Source organism: Homo sapiens, chromosome 4 (genome assembly GCF_000001405.40).
Source record: "Homo sapiens chromosome 4, GRCh38.p14 Primary Assembly".
NCBI classification, from domain to species: Eukaryota; Metazoa; Chordata; class Mammalia; order Primates; family Hominidae; genus Homo; species Homo sapiens.
Genome location: NC_000004.12, coordinates 128,823,824 through 128,843,982, shown reverse-complemented (window position 1 = coordinate 128,843,982; position 20,159 = coordinate 128,823,824). Strand labels below are relative to the sequence as shown.

Below are 20,159 nucleotides of genomic sequence, written 5' to 3'. Positions count from 1 at the left end.
TAAAGTGCCTCCTGGGATGGTTTTCCACAATTCTAAAGGATGTAAACTACTTCCTCATGGAGGAAGCTATTCCACAACCAAATAACTCCTCCACTCCACAGCAGGGCAGCCTTCTGACGTTCCCTATTAGAGCCTGGGAAGTTCCTCCAAGGAATATCTGCCTATGCATTGCCATTACAGGATGAGGCTGTTTGTGAACTCATCCCATAAGAAGCAGCACAAAGCAAAGCATTCAACCAAAGAAACTCTTCCTATAACCTTCTCACTTGAAAACTGTGATAAAATAAAATGTTTTTCTTCGATGATTTAAAGCCTAGCAAAAGTCTTTAGAATAAACAGACCTCAGGTCTCATAAGGACCCCTAAACAAAGACCAGCAGAAAGAAATGCACCTAAAAGCAACTTTAGATAGATAGATAACAAAAGTTAGGGAGCAGAGGAAACATAAGATGAGAAACAAATTGAGAAAGAATGGGGAAAGCCTTCAGCATAATCCCCTAAACAAAAGTCCCAGAGTTTTGCTTGTTGCCAAATAAGCCACAAACCCATGGCTAAAACTAACTTGAGGCTGGCAGTGACTTGGCAGCAGCTGAACCTGCTGATATCCTGGCCAGAGGAAGAAAAGTTGTTGGGAGCCAGCGAAGATGCAACAAGAAAGGAAAAAAAGAATGTAATTAATAATAATAACTAACATTTACTGAGCACTTTTTATGTGCCAGCAACTATTCACATGCTTTGCATGTATTAGTCTATGTGAATTAACCCACTTAATCCTCACAACAATCCTATGAGGTAGACACTTGTGTTCTCCCCGTCTTACAGATTTGGAAACTGGAGCACAAGGATTTGAATAATTTGCCCAGGACTGCACAAATAGATACCACTCAACTAGGCATATGGGATAGCATATATTCATGCACGGTCAGGCAAGCATTCAAGAAGTACCTCTGAAGGCTTTCGATCTTCATGTCTGGAGCAGGAGCTTCTCCTATGCTGGGATCGGGAATTCTGGGACCAAGTAGTTGACAGGCCTAAAGAAACAAATATCCAAATAAGAACCATTAGAAATTGCAGGGGTCACTGAGTGTTCTCAGGGGTTTTCTTACCCAAACTCATCCCAGGCTCACCTCAGCACTGCACCATGAGACCACCTGTGATGCCCTCCTGGCTCTCACAGAGCTCTTCCACGTCCATCAGTTATTTAACTCTCACCTCTCATAAGCAGGCCTAATGTGCTCATTCTGTGCAGGGATGCTGTATCAAGGACCACACCCAACAGAAGAGAGGACTTTAAGAACACCATGCAGGTGTAGTCTTCACCCATAAGCCTGCACTGAAGAGGTTCAAAGTCTCATGCTGCTAAATACAAATTGAAAAAATATCAGGCCAGGGGTGGCGGCTCACGCCTGTAATCCCAGCACTTTGGGAAGCCAAGGCAGGTGGACCACCTGAGGTCAGGAATTCAAGACCTGCCTGGCCAACTTGGTGAAACCCCACCTCTACTAAAACTACAAAAATTAGCTTCGCGTGGTGGCAGGCACCTGTAATCCCACCTACTCGGAAAGCCGAGGCAGGAGAATTGCTTGAACCTAGGAGGCAGAGGCTGAAGTGAGCCGAGACTGCGTCACTGCACTCCAGCCTGCGGGACAGAGCAAGACTCTGTCAAAAAAAAAAAAAGAAAGAAAGAAAAGAAAAGAAAAACATCTTACTGAGTTTTCAGGAAGCTTTCTAAAACACTGTTTTAAAAAAAGGTTTCACTCTACAAGGCCTAAAAACTTAGCAATCCCTAGACAGGGAACCTCAGGCCTATGGTGTAGTAAATAGCTAGCATAGTGCCATAAGAAGAGAGGACGGGAGGTAAACAAACTTAGTGAAGACTAAGGGGCCAATTGCCAAATAACCTTTAAAATTTGCTCCACTTTCCCATGAAAATTCCAGTTGGCTCTGTTCTCTGCCTTTCTTCCAAAGGGGGGTCTACTCCTATCATCTGGCCTCCCCCAGAACATGGTACCTAACTGCTGCCTAACAGGGTCTCCCAACTGCTGCCAAGTCTGATCTCTTCTCTGCCCTGACACTTCTCAGCACCAACAACTCCATCCTGCCTGAAATACTCCCTCAGCCTCAGTGGCAATTCTCTTTCCACTCTGTGGGTTCCTCCTCTCCATGTACCCCATCAACATGGGTTTCTCCTGAACTCTTTGCTCTTTTCTTGCTCCAAATATTCTCCCCGGGGGTGCTCACCCATGTCCACAGTCTTACCCAGCACACCCAGAGGAACCTGCCAGACCTACATTCCCAGACTAACCTCCCTCCCAAGCTCCAGATCCAGTTTCACCTTCACATAAGACATCAATCCTAAGGTATTCCTTAGATCTGTCAACTCAGCATTATAAAAACTGAGCTCAACATTTTACCCAAACCTGTTCTGCCTCTTACATTCCTACTTTGATGACTATTACCACCATTTCTACTTGACGTCAGAAATCTAAGAGTTGTCCTAGACTCTTCTCATTCAGGACACAATCAATGGTAGGTCAATTCAACTTCCCAATAATTCCAGCTCCTCTTCTCCATCTCTGCCTCTGCCTCCTGTTAATTTGTTACAAAGACAACTTAAGTGCAAAACCTTCCATTTGTGGGTGCCGTACTGCTGCCAGAGATCTGAAACAACCCTAACACCCACATGTAGTATTTGTCCAACTTTCTGATAATTCACCTCCACCTCCTATTTTTAATAATCATCACCCCAATCCTGAACACCTACTGTACCATTTTCCAGAAATTAACAAAATCCAGAAAAATAAAAGCCAAAAAAGCTTAAGGTTAACTGCCATTCTGCCAGTGAAATCATTTGTCACTCAGACAGGAAGCTCTTATCTCTACAGATTCCAGAGACAGGAACAGAGAATCAAAGCACCCTTAAGACCTTGGGGACCTTAAGAAATAGATTCTGCACATAAGCCTATCATCAGATTTGCGATGACCAAGACCAAATGGGATTGCCATGCTTCCCTGACAGGGACAACATCGGCACTACCCTTGAGCACCAGTTCTGAGGCTCATTACTAGGTCAACTGACTGCTGTTCCACCAGCACAATCAGCAGAACTGGAGCTCCTGCTGGTGGCCCCATGGCATTTCAGTAAATGTTTTAGAAAATTCTTCTTTAAAAAAATACTAAGTGTGCCTCTTTAGACTCTAAATGAACAAGAATATTTCACTCCCACACTGAAAGAAATATTCTGGGCACACTGGGGTGAGCCCAACCTGCAGAAGTTCTAAATCTGGTCATTACTGGAAAAAAGGAAGACAGACGCCAAGTTAGGAACCTGGAGATGAAGGTGGCTGGGTGGCTCCTAGGGTCTATAAAGAGGCCTCTCTTTCTCCCTCTTGTCCTGGAGGCCATCCTCCAGCCGGTCCACAGCCTGAAAGAAGAGACGAGGAAAAGCACACGCAGTGTCTGGATGGAATTATCAGAAGGTCTGGGGAAGGGAAGAGAAGCAGAACAAAAAGGGATGGTCCTCCTCTGCTTTGAATTACTATGGAAAAGGTTATAAATGATAAGGAACAAAGCCAGAAATTTAGAGAATCACTCCACTGCTATACTTTAAAAATTAACATGAAGTAGGGAGAAGAGGGTCTTCAGAGTCAAATACTTTCAGGGTTAAAGCAGAAACAACAAATTCATTCATTCTCAGGTTTTCTGACCCTCTTGTCTCTTCCTGAGGATCTGTCAGGATCCCTCCCAAGTAGTTTCCAAGGTTCCCAGGAAGCTTGCAGCTTTGCTGGCATAGAACACAACCCAAATAATGACACTCATTTGAAAACTTTTCCTAGGACTGCTTTCATAAATCCTGAAAATTGCTGTCTATGCCACATTTGCTTTTAAAAACAGATATACAAAGATGCTACATACTTGGTATCCAATAGTAATAACCAAGAGAAACTCTAGTCCACCCAAAAATAGTCTGTTCCTTTTCCTCTTAATTTACCTAGTGTTGATACAATACAGAAGAAGGAAAAGCAAAATTAATCCTATTAAACTCACTTTGCAGACAGGGAAAGACTGGTAAAGAAACTAAATTTAAATTATCACTGGCATAAGGAATGCTCTTAGCAGCTTATTTAGAAAAGCCAAAAATCAGAAACAACCTAAACATCCACCAACAGACTGTGAATGAAAAAACTCTGGTATATCCATACAGTGGAACACCATCACAGTGGAACACCATCCAGCAATAAAAAGGAATGAGCTACTGATACATGCAAACATGAATAAATGCTGAAGTAATTCTCCTGAGTGAAAGAAGCCAGACCAAAAAAAAAAGAGTCCATATTGTATTATTCCATTTACATACAACTCTAGAAATGCAAACTAATCTATAGTGACAGAAAGTAGATCAGTGGAAGACTAGAGAAAAGTGGGAGGGAAGGATTATCTTGATTTCAATGATTTCATGGGTATAAACATGTCAAAACGTATCAAAGTACACAATTTAAATATATGAGGCTCAGAGGCTCACTGTATGTCAATTATTTCTCAATAAAGCTATTAAACATTTATCACTGAGATACCATCCACTAACAGTAAGGGGAAAAAAATTCTATTTTACTTTACACAAGTGGTCTGTATAAAACCTAGACTTTGCTGATGAACCAAGTGAGAATCTGGGAGGGGGTTGTGAACCCGAGGGAACTGCTCTGCCTTCCATCTCCAGGAGCAGGTATTTGCTGGTGATCTATTCCTTCTCATTTTCTTGTTGTACCAAAAAGTTAATCTATCAAGAGCCACTGGTATAAGACGCAGAATTTACAACATAGAGCATAGCTAAGTTAGTCAGTGCTGTGCACACAGCAGATTCTCAATATTTCTTTGAAAAGTAGATAATTTTTTTTTAAATGTCATTGTTGAGGACAGTCAATCATGCTGTAACCATTGCTGTAACCCATGAACTGAAGGTGGCAGGCACTAAGAATTTACTCCTGTTTCACCTAATAGAAGACATGCGTTTGAGCTCAAGGAAAATAAAGCAATAATACATTTAAAGATAGATTTGTGGAGCCACTGTTTCCTGCTTGGAATGCACCTACATCTACAGAAACATTCATGGAAGGCCACAGGCTAGAGACTCAAAGGGAGTGTCTTGACATTGCTACACCAACACCTCTCCCTACAGCCAGGCTCTCCCCAGACATTCCCAGGAGGTCAGGAAGCTACCAGAATATTATTAAAATCAAAACACTCCTTTTTAATTAAAACAAAATTTATAAACACTTTCTGGAAAATATTGGGGGTGGGACAGTGGGGTCAAACCAGAAATTAGAATATTTTAAATACTAAAAAGACCAGGAGTCAGTGATTTATACTACAGCAAAACATCACGCACTTATTAAAAACAGTGTGCTTGCTATTGTTAAAAACCGCGTGGTAAGATTACACTGGGTTGGTTTGCATTTTGTTTGTTTCCAGAGTGCTGATATTTAATGACAAACTAATTTAAGCACATGACGAGTAAAATTTTGTTTTACTTTCTTTTCGCTTTCAGGAAAGGAGTTAGGAACTCTAAAAATCTGCTAATAATGTCTAAAAGTATTTTACTGCCATTCACAAGGTAAAATTATTACCTAAAGTTAAGTTCACTTTACTGACAAATTTAAAGGACTTAAAATTCTTGACATACACTGTTAAAAACAATTCTATATTACATTACCTCATGTTAAACATGGGAAAGACTGAGTGGGGAAAAACATTGTCTTGTTTTTAATATCCCCAACTTCCATTAAAACAGAATCCTTTGGGTTAATATAAAGTTATAAAAGGCACAGAGTTTGTAGCACCATGAGCATGGACCCTGCCCGGGCACAACGTTCCTTCAGGTCCTATTATACAGACATCTCCAACACTCACTCCCCTTTGAAATATTAAAAATAGCCATGCTGTCTTGCCCTAGATCTAAAATAAGGAAAACCTGAAGAGTAAATCTAACACATACTGCACACACCTTCCACATTTGGTAGCTGGTGTGTGATAAGCTTCTCATGTTGTGCCATGCATGAAAGGTTCAGAAATTAGAATGAATGGCAGTCTTCGTGTTTGCTGCACCACAAAATGCAAACTATGAAAGAACCTTGCCACTGATCAAACAGCGGTCATCCTGTCTCAGTCACTGCTCTGGACACTAAATAATATGCTGGTATCTGTCTTTAGGGGTGTTAAACCAGCTTAACAAAGTAAGATGCTTAAAACTGGCAAGTATCGAGTCCAGCAGTCTGGTGTCACAGCAAGGGCACACAGACCTGACAAACGCATCTATGAGTTACTTAAAAGCCAAGCTAGCCTTGTACTAGACTAAAGCAATGCTGTGTTAATTCCCATCTCAAATTAGGGAAATTTAATCTAGTTACTGTTTATTTGTTTTAGCGGCATGACAGAAGACAAGCATCTGATATAACTGTCATTTAGACCAGAGGCTGACCCTATACCTACCATAGTTTTTTACCCCAGCGTAGCCCAGCTCTACAGCCAAACTCACTTCCACTTCCAACAAACAAAGGCATCATACATACATTCAAAGAACTGGCCCAGAAATGTTTCAACATACTTAAATACACTTAGGCCTTCAACCAACTGACACACAAACATTTGACACTCACCCACCATTTCTGCTGAGGTCCAAGTACAAGTCAGTGGGAAAATTACTAATTTTCAATTTCAGCTGGCTTCCTTTCTGCCCATTCCTTATCACAGGTGATGGGGCAGAGCCTGGCTCTGATAGGTGGGAAGACAGACTGCTTCCACCCTAGCTCAGGTGCAGAAACAGGGAGACCAGAGAGGGCCCACATGGAGCCTGGCTCCAGACCTTCTTCCCAAAGAAAGTCAACAAATCTCTGAAATTTAAGGAAGTCAGACAAGAATAAGAAGTCCTGCTCTATAACTTTAGGAAAATCTTAACAGTATGAGCACACTTCTATCATTCTTTGTGAAGTAAGGAATGAGACCAATCTCCCTTTGGACCTTTGAGAGACACCAAAGTTTAAGAACAACCAAAACCAACAAAAACACCATTTGCTACATATATATAAAGATGCTGATCATACTCAGGGGGCTGATGCAGGAAAATCACTTTAACCTGGGAGGCGGAGGTTGCAGTGAGCTGTGAGCTGAGCGGGCAATGAGCTGAGATCATGCCACTGTACTCCAGCCTGGGCAACAAAGCGAGGCTCCATCTCAAAAAAAAAAAAAAAAACAGTGCTGATCAGAGCTACTATTTGCCTGAGATAAACAATAATATATAATTCCTGATAAAAACAAGGTTACTTGATGTTTAAATTAGCCTCTACAGGTTTACTGAAGATAACATGGTATGTCCTTTAGGTTTTAGAAACATAGTTGCCTCTTGAACAACACGGGTTTTAACTGCCCAGTTCACTTACGTGAGAATTTTCTCTCTGCCACCCCTAAGACAGCAAGACCCACGCCTTCTCTTCCTCCTTCTCCTCTTCTACCTACTCAACATGAAGACGAAGTTGAAGACCTTTATGATTATCTACTTTCACTCAATGAATAGTATATTTTATATATATACATATATATTTCCTCTTCTTTATGATGTTAATATTTTCTCTAGCTTACTTTATTGTAAAAATACAGTATATAATACATATGACATATAAAATATGTTGATTTATGTTATTAGTAAGGCTTCCGGTTAACAGTAGGCTATTATTAGTTAAATTTTTGGGAGTCAAAAGTTATACAAAGAATTTTGATTTGCAGGGTAGGGGGAGTTGTTCAAGGATCAACTGTACTGAAAGTAGTTAGTGGACCCTATTCCCACATGTGCCAAATCCCTAAGGACAGGATCCTGGGCTGGAAAGCAGAAAATTAAGGACTTGTTTCCCTTGGCCATGCTCTGGCGCAATGCGTAACTTCAGAGACTGGCTGAGCCACCCAGTCCCAGAAGCCCAGCAACTGCAGACGCTGCCTGCAAACACCCCAACATTATTCCATCCAACTGCAGGGCTGGGCCTCCAGGGCACCTGGAGAAAGGCTTCAACTATGACTGCAGCTGTATAAGGGCTTGCACCTGGCACAGAAAATGCCTGTCCGTCCCCAACTGTAAATACCACACTGGTATTCCTCTGGACCAGGCCAGAAAACAAGGCAAAGGGCTCCAGACCAGAGGCCAGCAAGTCCCAGCCATGGCTGTGGCTCGTGCTGCAGCCCCATGCTGACGTCTGCAGCTGCCTCTCCTTCACTTGGACATGGTGTGCACTGGGCTGGGAAGTGCTGCCAAAATTCTGTCAGGCCTGCAGGCTGGAGAGGCTGAGGTGTGGCCACTGCATAGACCCTATCTTTCTTGTAAGCAGAACTTTCCAAATGCACAGGCCCGGCTGAAGGAAGGCAGAGTATGGGCAGTTAACCCAGGTAGGGCTCATTTTGTGGACCTGAAAGCAGGGACAGCAGGCACACCCCATGACGCAGGCCACCCAGTTATATACAAAAGGAAGGCTCCAGTGCAAATGAGTGAGTTGGTGGCAGAGGCTGTGAACCAGCTGCCTTCAGAGGGGATGGAAAGGGGTGTGTTCCATGGCAATGAGTATGTGCATCTTTTTATAAGCCTGGCATTTCAGGGGTTCTTAATGAGAACTCTGCGTTTACCACTACCATCATCCACCTTATCAAATCATTGAGCGTGGACAGACAGCATGGCTGTAAAGCATCAATATATACTTTATATTGAACCAGCTGTATGACAAAAGGACAGCCAACCTTCTACTAGCAACTATCATTCCTCTCCTCCACCACCAGATTTCCATGTTTAGCCTAGGCTAACCCTTTGATAACCTATAAATATTTACCTTAATTCTCCATCCCCAGCTTCTTGACGGAGGCCAGTACAGACTTGTGAGTTGACAGACACACTTTTGGTGGGGACTGTGGACACTCTCTTCCTCCTTCCTAACCAGAGTTCTAGGTGGAATTTTTTTTTTTTTTTAAAATAGAGATGGGTTCTCGCTTTGTTGCCCAGGCTGGTCTCCAATTCCTGGGCTCAAGCAATCCTCCCAGCTCAGCCTCCCTAAGTGTCAGGATTACAGTCATGAGCCACCATGCCCATCCTGAACATATATATTTTAGATGAAATATTTGGCCAGGCGTGGTGGCTCACGCCTGTAATCCCAGCACTTTGGGAGGCAGAAGGTGGGCAGATCATGAGGTCAGGAGATCAAGACCATCCTGGCTAACATGATGAAACCCTGTCTCTACTAAAAAATACAAAAAAGTAGCCGGGTGCAGTGGCGGACACCTGTAGTCCTAGCTACTCGGAGGCTGAGGCAGCAGAATGGTGTGAACCCAGGAGGCAGAGCTTGCAGTGAGCCGAGATCATGCCACTGTACTCCAGCCTGGGCGACAGAGCAAAGACTCCATCTCAAAAAAAAAAAAAAAAAAAAAGAAATATTTGGTCTTCTAGGGCTTTTATGGGCTGAATTGTACCCCCATCCCCAAATGCGTACTTTGAAGCCCTAACCTCCAATCTCAGAATGTGACTATATTTGGAGACAGGGCCTTGAAAGGGGTGACTGAGTTAAAATGAGGCTATTAGGGTGGGCCATAATCCAATTTAGTCACACTGAGGCACACCAGCGATGCCTGTGCAAAGGAAAGGCCAAGTAAGAACACGTGAGAAGAAGTCCATCTGCAAACCACGAGAGGCCTCAGAAGAAACCACACCTGCCAGTACCTTGGACTTCCAGTCTCCAGAACTGTGAGAAAACAAATTTCTGTAGCTTTAAACTACCGGGGGCTGTGGTACTTTTTTGTAGCATCCTGAGCTGACTAATATGAGGCCTTCTGCGCTACTAAGACCCTCTGGACAACTGAAAGGGACTAAACTAAGCCAAGGTCCAGAACTACACTGTCCAACACAGTGGACACTAGCCACATGTGTCTTCAAATTTTTTAATTCATTAAAATTAAGTAAAAGTTTAAAATTCAGTTCCTCAGTTGCACTAGATTAGGACATTCTCATCCTATGGGACAATGCTAGTCCAGAAAAGAGAAGGCTCTAAATCTGAGAGAACATCCAGGAGAAACTTTTCTAACACAGCTCTCCCAAAGAAGAGAGGCAGTGACGAGAGCAGACAGAGTGAGCATACACCTGATGCTCAATGCCAAGAAAAATATTTAAATAGGGCTCTTAAGCTTTTATTGGGCATTATCTTTATATGGAGGTAATTCACCAAGCAGTCTTCTGACTAATTCTCACCCTAAAAGCAAGAATTTTTTTTCGAGACGGAGTCTCGCTCTGTCGCCAGGCTGGAGTACAGGGGCCACGATCTCGGCTCACTGCAACCTCCGTCTCCTGGGTTCAAGTGATTCTCCTGCCTCAGCCTCCCGAGTAGCTGGACTACAGGCACACACCATCATGCCCAGCTAATTTTTAGTAGAGATGGGGTTTCACCATGTTGGCCAGGATGGTCTCAATCTCTTGACCTTGTGATCCACCCACCTCGGCCTCCCAAAGTGCTGGGGAATACAGGCGTGAGCCACCAGGCCAGGCAAGACTATTTTTTTTAATTAATGTAGGACAAAATTATGTACTCAAGCAAGGAGCATTTATAGAGTACTTATAACTCACAAAGACACTTTGATAGGCGCCACACAGGGGCAGAGAAGAAATTCCCAATGATGTTTTTGCCTCAAGGAGTAAAATGCCTAAAACTATAAACGTTAGAAAACAGGTAGGCAGGGTTATGAAACAACAAGCGCCTCAGAAGTTCAGAAGGTGGCATCCCAAAGGCTCGGACAGGTGGCTTTACCTGCCTGCACTTGGAAACAGACCTTTAATACCTTTCTCTGAAATAAGAGGAAAGGTCTTTCGCTCTGGAGCCCCTACACCCTCTCTCAACTAGTTCACTTCTCTCCTGCTGCCAACATCAGCAGTCAACCCTAAAACTCTCAATTCCTTAGAGGTCCTCATTGCAAGCCCTTCACACCTGACACTCTCCCATAACGGCCAATTCTCCTCCCCAAAAGCCCCGTGCCTGTGCCTGTGCCAAGCACACCAACCGAAATACCACATTGAGTTCTGTTTTTCATATTCCTGGTCCCCTCTTCTGAACAGGGTGGCACCTACAGCAGCAAAGCCTTGCTTTCTAATGTGCAGCTTTTAACTTGCTGAAAACTTAGAGCACAGAAAACTGAAAATAACCCTATTTGCCTAAAAAGTATTTCATCCTTAAGGATCTATACAACTTTCATCTCCTCTGCAGGTTTCCCTGCCCTCCCCTCCTCTGAATCTGTATCTGTATCTGTTTCCACAGTGCATCAAAAAGACATCTCTATTACTGCCCTGATGACTTTCACATCAGAGCTCTTCTTACATATGTCTAAAGCAGAGTTCCTTGAAAGCAGGCCCAGCTCCTTTCCCATCACACATTCTTTCAAGGTGTCCTGGGTTTAATTTGTAATGTAAAACATAAGCTAACGGGCTAGAGCTCAGGCACTGTGCTAGGTACAAAATTTCCCTCTGTTATCTGAGGGGAGCTCTTCTCTGAGTAGTCTGTTAGCTTCTCAATACACAGACACTGTGTGATATTTATTTTGACTGCCTGGAAGCCAACTAACTTCTGGTTCTCAGCTGCACTGTGAAAATATGAAGTTGCCAGAGAGCTGAGATACAGACAGCAGTAGTATTCAATATAGTCACATTAAAACCAAGTGAAGAGCAGGGACTTTCGACCTATTAAGAACCTGTACTTAATAATTTTCACATCACACTAGGCAGTCTTCAACCTCCCCTTGTATTGAGTTGAACCAGTTAATGATTACCTGGCTTTGATTAAGTTCCCCTTTCATAAAGCGCAACTGCGAAGTACCATAAATGATGTTTAGGAAAACCAGACACACCAGTGACTCTTGGAACTGGATTATTCCTCCCAGGATAACAAATAGGAAGCCTCAGGAATGCTTGCCTGCAGTCAACCTTACCCAGTAAGATCTGGTTACAGACCTGCAGTATCACACTCAGGTACGTTTCTCCAGGCTTTGGCTTTCTCTGACCTGCCTGACATGCAAAGGGCCTCAGCAATTTAAAGCATTACATTAAAAAATCATGTTTTTACCCCGACCCAAACCCTGGTAGGCTCCAAGAACAACAAAGCAGGACTTACTGCCATTGTCGTCAGAATCCTCACTGCTGCTGGGAAGGCGACCTCGTTTCATGATCTCCCCGGGAAACAGCAGGCAGCCTGCAAAGCAATGAGACAGCACTTAACCCAAGATGATAATACACAATCATCAAGTTGTGCTTCAGATGGCAGCCCAGGATTTACAGCAAACAAAAGCAAACAAATGGCTTTAAGTAGCATTTGAATTGTAAACAGTAAAAAGACCAAAGATACATAATTAGGTGCAATCATTAACAAACCAGGTTAAAAAAGGAGGGGGAGGGGTGGAGAAGTCACATATCAGTAGGTCTCCCAAAGATGCCAGGTTTCTTTCTATATTCCTGTGACATTATTACTATAACTACTCCAGGAATCTTTAGCTGACTGGCAGCAAGCACTGCAGAAAAAAATCCACAGCAATGAACACTGTACTGTGCTTCCTCACTACAGACAGATTCATATTTTATGCGTACATGTGGGGGGTGGGGTGGGGTTGTGCCTGGATGTGTGAATATTTACACTGCACTGGGCATGATTATGCTTCTCAGGCAAATTTTACTAAAATAACCCTAAAGGCGAAAGAAACAAAACAAATCGGGTAATGGAATGCAAATGTCTCCTCCAGCCATCTCTAACCCCACAGAGGGAACAGGAAGGAACCACAGACATTATACAATTTTGATCCAGACCCCTCCCTTTCACATTAGGAAACTAAAGCCAAGAAAGGTTAAGCAGCAACTTCCCCAAGGTCACGTTGTGGGAATGGAGCTTCTAATTCCAAATCCAACACTATTTCCACTCCACTTCACCTCAGCTCCCTTCAGGACAAATAGACCCAAATCCAGCCAAAATAAGAAGTCAGTTTGTACAAAGACCCAGCGCACCTGGCCAACTCCTCCCAGGTAGCTGATGATAACAGAATTCTAGCACTACCCTCAAGTATGAGAAAGGCTGCATTTAGGTAAGAAGGCAGTGAACTGAGACGGAATGGCCAGTAATGAACTTATACAGATGGTCTCGCGGTTATATTCACACAGGGCAGCTCTCTAAACAAATACAAAAAGCTTTTCCAAATTAAAATTACTGATCAACCTGACATCTTTAGGGCACTGGTCTGTCAGTTCAATGAATCCTAAAAATGAAAGGGAGCTTTTTCAAGTGAGAAAAAGTATGGTAGTCCATCACCTACCTACCCATCCACCCTCTCAGAAAAGTACATCCCAACCTCCTCCTCATTGGGAATCACAATATGTATGATGTGGTGTTAACAATGCAAATGTGGCTGGGCATGGTGGCTCACCCCTGTAATCCCAGCACTTTGGGAAGCAAAGACGGGAGGATCACTTGAGGTCAGGAGTTGGAGACCAGCCTGGCCAACATGGTGAAACTCCGTCTCTACTAAAAATATAAAAATTAGCCGGGCGTGGTGGCAGGTGTCTGTAATCCCAGCTACTTAGGAGGCTGAGGCAGGAGAATCGCTTGAACTCAGGAGGCGGAGGTTGCAGTGAGCCGAGATCACACCACTGCACTCCAGCCTGGGCGACAGAGACCCTGTCTCAACATACACACACACACATACACACAACAATAGAAGTGGGGCACATAGGAATGGTGTGGAGAAAAAAATGTGGAAAACCGGGCTGGGTGTGGTGGCTCATACCTGTAATCCCTGCACTTTGGGAGGCCGAGGTGGGAGGATCACGAGGTCAGCAGTTCGAGACCAGCCTGACCAACACGGTGAAACCCTGCCTCTACTAAAAATACAAAAATTAGCCGTGCGTGGTGGCGCGCATCTGTAATCCCAGCTACTCAGGAGGCTCAAGCAGGAGAATCACTTAAACCCGGGAGGCGGAGGTTGGAATGAGTGGAGATCACACCACTGCACTCCAGCCTATGTGACACAGTGAGATTCTGTCTTGAAAAAAAAAGAAAAATGTGGAGAACCACTGTGATAGAACAAGAAAGCAATTTTAAAAAACCAAAGCTCCACTCTAAAAAGGCCTACAAAAGAGCAGTCAAAAAAGCCTAAACTCCCTTTTCCTTTGACTAGTCACTTCACAATTTATCACCCTCTGTTAAAATTGTATATAAGCCTTCAGGTCTAACTCTTCTTGGGTTTTTTCTCTTCGGTGAAGTCTCCTTCCCTTTACCCACATCTGGCACATAAAAATATCAACATCAGTGAAGTTTGCCTTTTCTCCTGTAATGTCTTTTGTCATTTAATTCAGACTCGCATGAACTGAACCTAAAAAAGTAGATGAAAAGTTTTTCCTATACTACACTTAAAAAATGGATCTACACAATTCATCCAAATATTTAGGTCCCTAATCTATAATTGCAATATTTTATATTTTCTTCCTGAGAAACTCACCCAGTTAAAGTTTTTGTTTATCAATTGATTCTTCAAAAGCCATTAAAATGATGTACCAAGAGAAAGGCTGAACATAAGTCCTGATCAGTATGGGTCATGAGCTATATTATGGACACGCTTTACAAGCTGGGGTTTCATGCTGTAGGCATAGTCAAGTCCTAAAACCCACTCCATCCCTTTTCCAAAAGCCCCACTCACCCATAACCAGGCAATCTGCAACTTGGCCTGGGGTAAGCCCACTCCAGCCCTCAGGTTCCATAACCAAGAAACACCAGTGGTCCACTCCCTATTCAACTGTTTTCTCTGCCCTGTGTGTGCCAAAAACACCAACTGCAGACAGGTAAGCTCTCCAACCTTCTAGAGAATGCACCTCTGGGTCCCCTCAGGATCCAGCAAGAGGTAAAAGGGAAAAGGGAAAGGCAGAAGACCACTCACTCCTAACAGCTTCAGCTCCCCAAAGCCAACATTACAAAAGAGTGCTAAAAAAAATTAGTACTAGGCTGGTCGCGGTGGCTCACATGTGTAATCCTAGAACTTTGGGACGCCAGGGCAGGAGGACTGCTTGAACCTAGGAGTTGAGACCGGAGTGGGCAACACAGGGAGACCCCTATCTCTATAAAAAAATTTAAAAATTAGATTCACCTAACAGAGTAGCTTTTAAGAATCTTTTTGAATCAAAATGCTTACTTTCCAGCTTTCAAACACAACTCCCTGAGGAAGCACTTCAACAGTCACTAAATAAAGAACGCAAGCATTGGCCAAAATACAATGATGCACCTAAACACACATAAATACTCTCTTAAGCAAAATTATTCAAGTAAAAGAAGAGTAAAAATAGTATTTTCTTTCTAATGAAATCCATTTTCATCCGCTGAAGATCTTGAGTAATGAGGGTTTGAGAGTGCTGTATTTGCTTCTCCAGGGAACTTGGCACAGTATGGGGGTTAGTGCTCAGCAGAATTTCCTCCTCTGTGGCTCTAAAGTACTTAAACCTTGACATCAAGCTGATTTATCTCACCCAGGATGACTTACTGTATCAGAAAATCAAAATACATGTTACTATCTTTCAGCTACACAATACAGTGGTTGTATGCTGCAAACATCTGCCCCACTAAAAGCCAGCATCTGCATCATCACCTTTCCTGACTCTCAGGGCAATGGCTAATTACTAATCTAGACAGTAGTAGGATAAGTAATAATCAATTAAAATGGCTACTCACAACACCCCAAAGTAGCAAGAAGATATAATGGCACATAATGCAGCCGACAAACATTTGAATATCTCATATATTAGGAGGTGCTGGATGAAAATTACTAACCCTGACCTCACAGAGCTTCTGGCCTAGTTGGGCAGACAGGAAAACAACGGAAATTCACTACTGTTTGTGCCTGACAGTGGTAAATGCGGAGTTCTACAGGAATACAAAAGGTGGATAAGAGTCAGAGGAGGCTGGTAAGACTGAGCTGAGTCCTGAAGAACAAAGAGGAGGTAGCCAGAAAAAGGGGCATGTTTGGGGCAGAGCACCGTACTTACCAACATATGTGTAACACAGCATATTACTCTGGGTAGCATCTTCATACACATCCATTCTCACCTTATAGCCAATTGCCAAGGTTTACTGATTCATAATGTTATGACTCTCTGAAGTCCCCATATGCCCTGTGGGTTTGCCCTTCAACTACTTGTACCTAGAAAGCTTTAAACACCTATTCTCCAAACTATGATCTCTTCCCACTTCCAATTATTAAAACAACAAATTAACTACACCCCATGAGGCAACCTCATCAAAATACTATATGCAGATCTCTCCCTCCATTCCACATTACAAATAGGTCTAAGTCCAAAGTGTCCAGCCAAAAATGAAGTTTTCTGACTTCTCACAGCTTTACTCAGGCATCTGTTCTAGCAAGCCCCAAAACCCAGAGCTTGCATTGGTTGGGCCAGGCTTCTTCCCTGAACACTCTGCTTACTTTCAGTTCTCATTCTCTGCTAATGCTGCTCCTGTTGCTCCTTGCTCCCTATCCTAATCCCACCACTTTTCTGGGGCTCAGCTCAAAGCCACTGACCACTCCAACTCCAAACACTTATATTCTGTACTGCTCAGTTCAACTTTCTTCCTCTTTTAGAACTTTTTCACCTTGCTTTTCAATGCACTGTTACCTTAATAGTATCACTGAAAAAAATTCCTCATGACACTTGTTAGAAATGGTAAAGCAGATTTTACTCAAGGGGGACCATGGTGGTAGGTACAGGGAACACTGCAATGGGATCTTGCAGAGGGGGATGGAGATTGAACCCAACTCAGATTCCAAAAGAGGTGGAGATTTATAACCAAGGAGGAGGGTGGGGCCGGTGGATAGGAGACTGACTACTAAACAGAAATATCAAGGATAAGGGGTTTATGGCTAATTTGATAGGATTATTCTTGAAGACAGGCCAGGATAAGATAGGACAGAGTGGTCAGATACCCAGGTGAAGAATTTTCCCTAAACTGATTTTAACAGGATTTTTGCTTCAACTGGATTCAACAATAATACAAAGAGAAGCCCAAGGTAGTGCCCATTCACGCGGAGGACCGGAGGAGCGTGACTAAAGTTTTGGTCAAAGGAGTCTTTGTCAGTATTCAATCAACTACTGCCTTGCATCATGACTTAAATGTTTCATGTGTGTGTCTCTAAAGATTACAGTAATTTCTGGAGAACAGATTCTCTCAAGTCAAATATGAAATAAACATAACATAGGGCCAGGTGCAGTGGCTCATGCCTGTAATCTCAGCACTTTGGGAGGCCGAGGCAGGCATATTATCTGCATGCAATAGATAGAGAGGAGCCACTATGTGAAGCCTGGAGTTCGAGACAAGCCTGGCCAACATGGGAAAACCCCGTCTCTACTGAAAAAAAAAAAAAAAACACAAAAATTAGCCAGGCGTGGTGATGCATGCCTGTAGTCCCAGCTACTCAGGAGGCTGAGGCAGGAAAATCACTTGAACCCAGGAGGTGGAGGTTGCAGTGAGCTGAGCGTGTGCCACTGCACTCCAGCCTGGGTGACAAGAGTAAACTCTGTTTCAAAAAAAAAGACATAACAGAGAAGGGGGACCATGATGGTAGGTATAGGGAACACTGCAATGGGACCTTGCAGTACGGGACAGAGATTGAATCCAACTCAGACTGGTCAGAAACAAGGCCTCTCAGCGTGGCTACAATAGATGCCCTCAGAACTCTGGATCCAGTCGACACGGCTCACCCTGACATTCTGTTTACATTTCCTCAAAACTGATGCAAAGTTATCCAGCTTATCGGAGCCTGGAGTGTCCACTTGCCACGAGAAACATAATAGCTACAGAGACAAAAGAGCTAGTTAGTGGGCATTTGGGAGTTTGCCCAAAAAGAGGAAGACTACCTAGGAAGTTAAATTAAAAACAGAACACTGCCTGGAAAGGCCACTGGCCAAAGACCCTGGCTGGACCAGTTACTTAACAATCCTCTGGTGTCTCTACTCCACTCACTGCACGAAGAGATGCACCAAGACAACTGAGCATCTGTGGCAGCTGCCGGAGAACCATCTCCTCAGGAAATGCAAACACAGGCTTTACCCACTGGCCCAAACCCCTATTTAGATTATATGCAGATTACTCTCTCCTTGGATCCCTTCTGTCATGTGGGTTAAAATGCAGTACATTAGCTAACATAATAATTTGAGGAAAATTTTATCAAGGTAGACGTCAGAGATACGGTGAACAAGATATGGAATGTCTGCACTGCAGGAGCACACAGTCTACCTGGAGGAAACATCAAATAACTAGACAAGTGGCTTCAGTGTGGTAAGTGCTATAAAAGTCACCAGATTACTGCTTACATGCACATGAGATAGCAAGGCACCTGAAAACCTTGAAATTTACATTCCTCTGACTGAAACTGGGAAAAATCTGCATGCAATAGATTCAGAGGAGCCACTATGTGAAGGAACCCATCCCTAGGGTGGCTCAGGAATTTGAGCGAACAAGTTCAGTGACCTGGGCGTGGTCATGACTGATGTGATGATTCTAAGAAAGAATGAGAACGTCATGGACAAGGAGAGAAGGACTTTTACAAAAGAATAAGAGGGCTGGGCACAGTGGCTCACGCCTGTAATCCAGGCACTTGGGGAGGCCGAGGCAGGCATATCACTTGAGGCCAGGAGTTTAAGACCAGCCTAGCAACATGGCGAAACCCCGTCTCTACTAAAAACACAAAAAGTTAACCAGGTTTGGTGGTGTATTCCTGTTGTTCCAGCTACTTGAGAGGCTAAGGCAGGAGAATCGCTTGAACCCGGGAGGCAGAGGTTGCAGTGAGTCAAGATCATACCACTGCACCCCAGCCCGGGCAATATAGCAAGACTCTGTCTCGAAAAAAGAAACAAAAAAAGGGAAAGGTAACTAAGAATTTGAGGATGTTTATTCAATGCTATTCCTGGGAAACAAGGACTGATTTGAGGAAAACAAACTGTCCAGTTACTAGAATTACTTACTCTCTGTGGTGGAACAGGGCCCATTTATCAGGCCATAAACTCTATAGCTATAATAAGGATTACAACCTAGTGATTTTGTCTTATGGCTCATATGCAGAAAGGCTGGTTTCTCTCTCAAAGTATCAGTTTTATCTACTGTTTCCATTTTTATTTATTTCACTCAAGAAGTTCTAGAAGGTACTCAATTAAAGACCGCTACATACTTTTATATATCACCCAATGCAATACTATGTATTAAAATAACCTACTGGATGAATGCCTTAGTTCCCGTACTGTTACCTTATGTTCACTCCACTTTATTGAATTTGAGATGCTTTTACTTTAATATCTAATTGACCTTTAACTGGAATAACTTCTCCTGTATTCACTTTTAAATTTATTGATGCCCTTCCATTCTGTCAAATAGCTAAAATCTAATACCTAAAGGTACTAAAGAATGTATTTTCAGAAACCAGGTGGTCTTATATAAAACTAAGTATTTTATGAGCTACTCCTTTCTCTTTTATTTTATTTTTTTTGAGTTGGAGTCTCGCTCTGTCACCTAGGCTGGAGTGCAATGGCTCACTCAGCTCACTGCAAGCTCCGCCTCCCGGGTTCACGCTATTCTCCTGCCTCAGCCTGGGACTACAGGCGCCTGCCAACACGCCCAGCTAATATATATATATATTTTTTTGTAATTTTAGTAGAGACGGGGTTTCACCGTGTTAGCCAGGATGGTCTCGATCTCCTGACCTCATGATCCGCCCGCCTCGGCCTCCCAAAGTGCTGGGATTACAGGCGTGAGCCACCGCGCCCTGCCACTCCTTTCTGTTTAAGTTCACATAGTTCAAATTATTTTTTAAACACTAGGTACCTGATAATTTGATTCCTAAATTACTGAACATAGAATACTCCCCCAAAAAGATACATTATATTCTTAATAATTGGTCACTTTTGTCTTCTATGGAATATACAGTTCTAAATACCCAAATATAATGACCTATAACTTCACAATAAAATCTGTCCACCTGCCCCTAAATGAATGTGAAGGAAACCCAGCTGGTTTCTTACCTCAGTTTTTAAAGTAAACATTAATCGCTTAAATATGAAGTTTTCCAACTGGCAACATTATC

General features: G+C 43.1%; 1 protein-coding gene across 15 annotated transcripts in view, besides 4 other annotated features; it reads right to left on the bottom strand.

The window, feature by feature from the left end:
- The window catches only part of JADE1 (jade family PHD finger 1), a 65,525-nt gene that overhangs the window by 31,242 nt on the left and 14,124 nt on the right, over nucleotides 1-20,159 (bottom strand). For all 15 annotated transcript variants that reach the window (NM_199320.4, XM_017008626.3, NM_001287437.2 and 12 more), the window contains exons 2-3: nucleotides 12,173-12,250; nucleotides 945-1,030 (exon numbers count right to left, since the gene is read on the bottom strand). In NM_199320.4, the coding sequence (NP_955352.1) occupies nucleotides 945-1,030; nucleotides 12,173-12,224 (138 nt within the window). In that variant the 5' untranslated portion in view covers nucleotides 12,225-12,250. The remainder of the gene's footprint in view (nucleotides 1-944; nucleotides 1,031-12,172; nucleotides 12,251-20,159) is intronic.
- Nucleotides 7,676-8,218: an enhancer, noted in NCBI's record as "H3K27ac-H3K4me1 hESC enhancer chr4:129756920-129757462 (GRCh37/hg19 assembly coordinates)". NCBI's record gives its function as "activates a minimal SCP1, AML or CMV promoter by ChIP-STARR-seq in primed H9 embryonic stem cells {active_cell/tissue: H9 hESC(primed)}" and the evidence as "EXISTENCE:reporter gene assay evidence [ECO:0000049][PMID:30033119]".
- Nucleotides 11,170-11,849: an enhancer, noted in NCBI's record as "NANOG-H3K27ac hESC enhancer chr4:129753289-129753968 (GRCh37/hg19 assembly coordinates)". NCBI's record gives its function as "activates a minimal SCP1, AML or CMV promoter by ChIP-STARR-seq in naive H9 embryonic stem cells {active_cell/tissue: H9 hESC(naive)}" and the evidence as "EXISTENCE:reporter gene assay evidence [ECO:0000049][PMID:30033119]".
- Nucleotides 11,850-12,529: an enhancer, noted in NCBI's record as "OCT4-NANOG-H3K27ac hESC enhancer chr4:129752609-129753288 (GRCh37/hg19 assembly coordinates)". NCBI's record gives its function as "activates a minimal SCP1, AML or CMV promoter by ChIP-STARR-seq in naive and primed H9 embryonic stem cells {active_cell/tissue: H9 hESC(naive and primed)}" and the evidence as "EXISTENCE:reporter gene assay evidence [ECO:0000049][PMID:30033119]".
- Nucleotides 17,687-17,736: an enhancer, noted in NCBI's record as "active region_21898". NCBI's record gives its function as "activates an Ori minimal core promoter by ATAC-STARR-seq in GM12878 lymphoblastoid cells {active_cell/tissue: GM12878}" and the evidence as "EXISTENCE:reporter gene assay evidence [ECO:0000049][PMID:35858748]".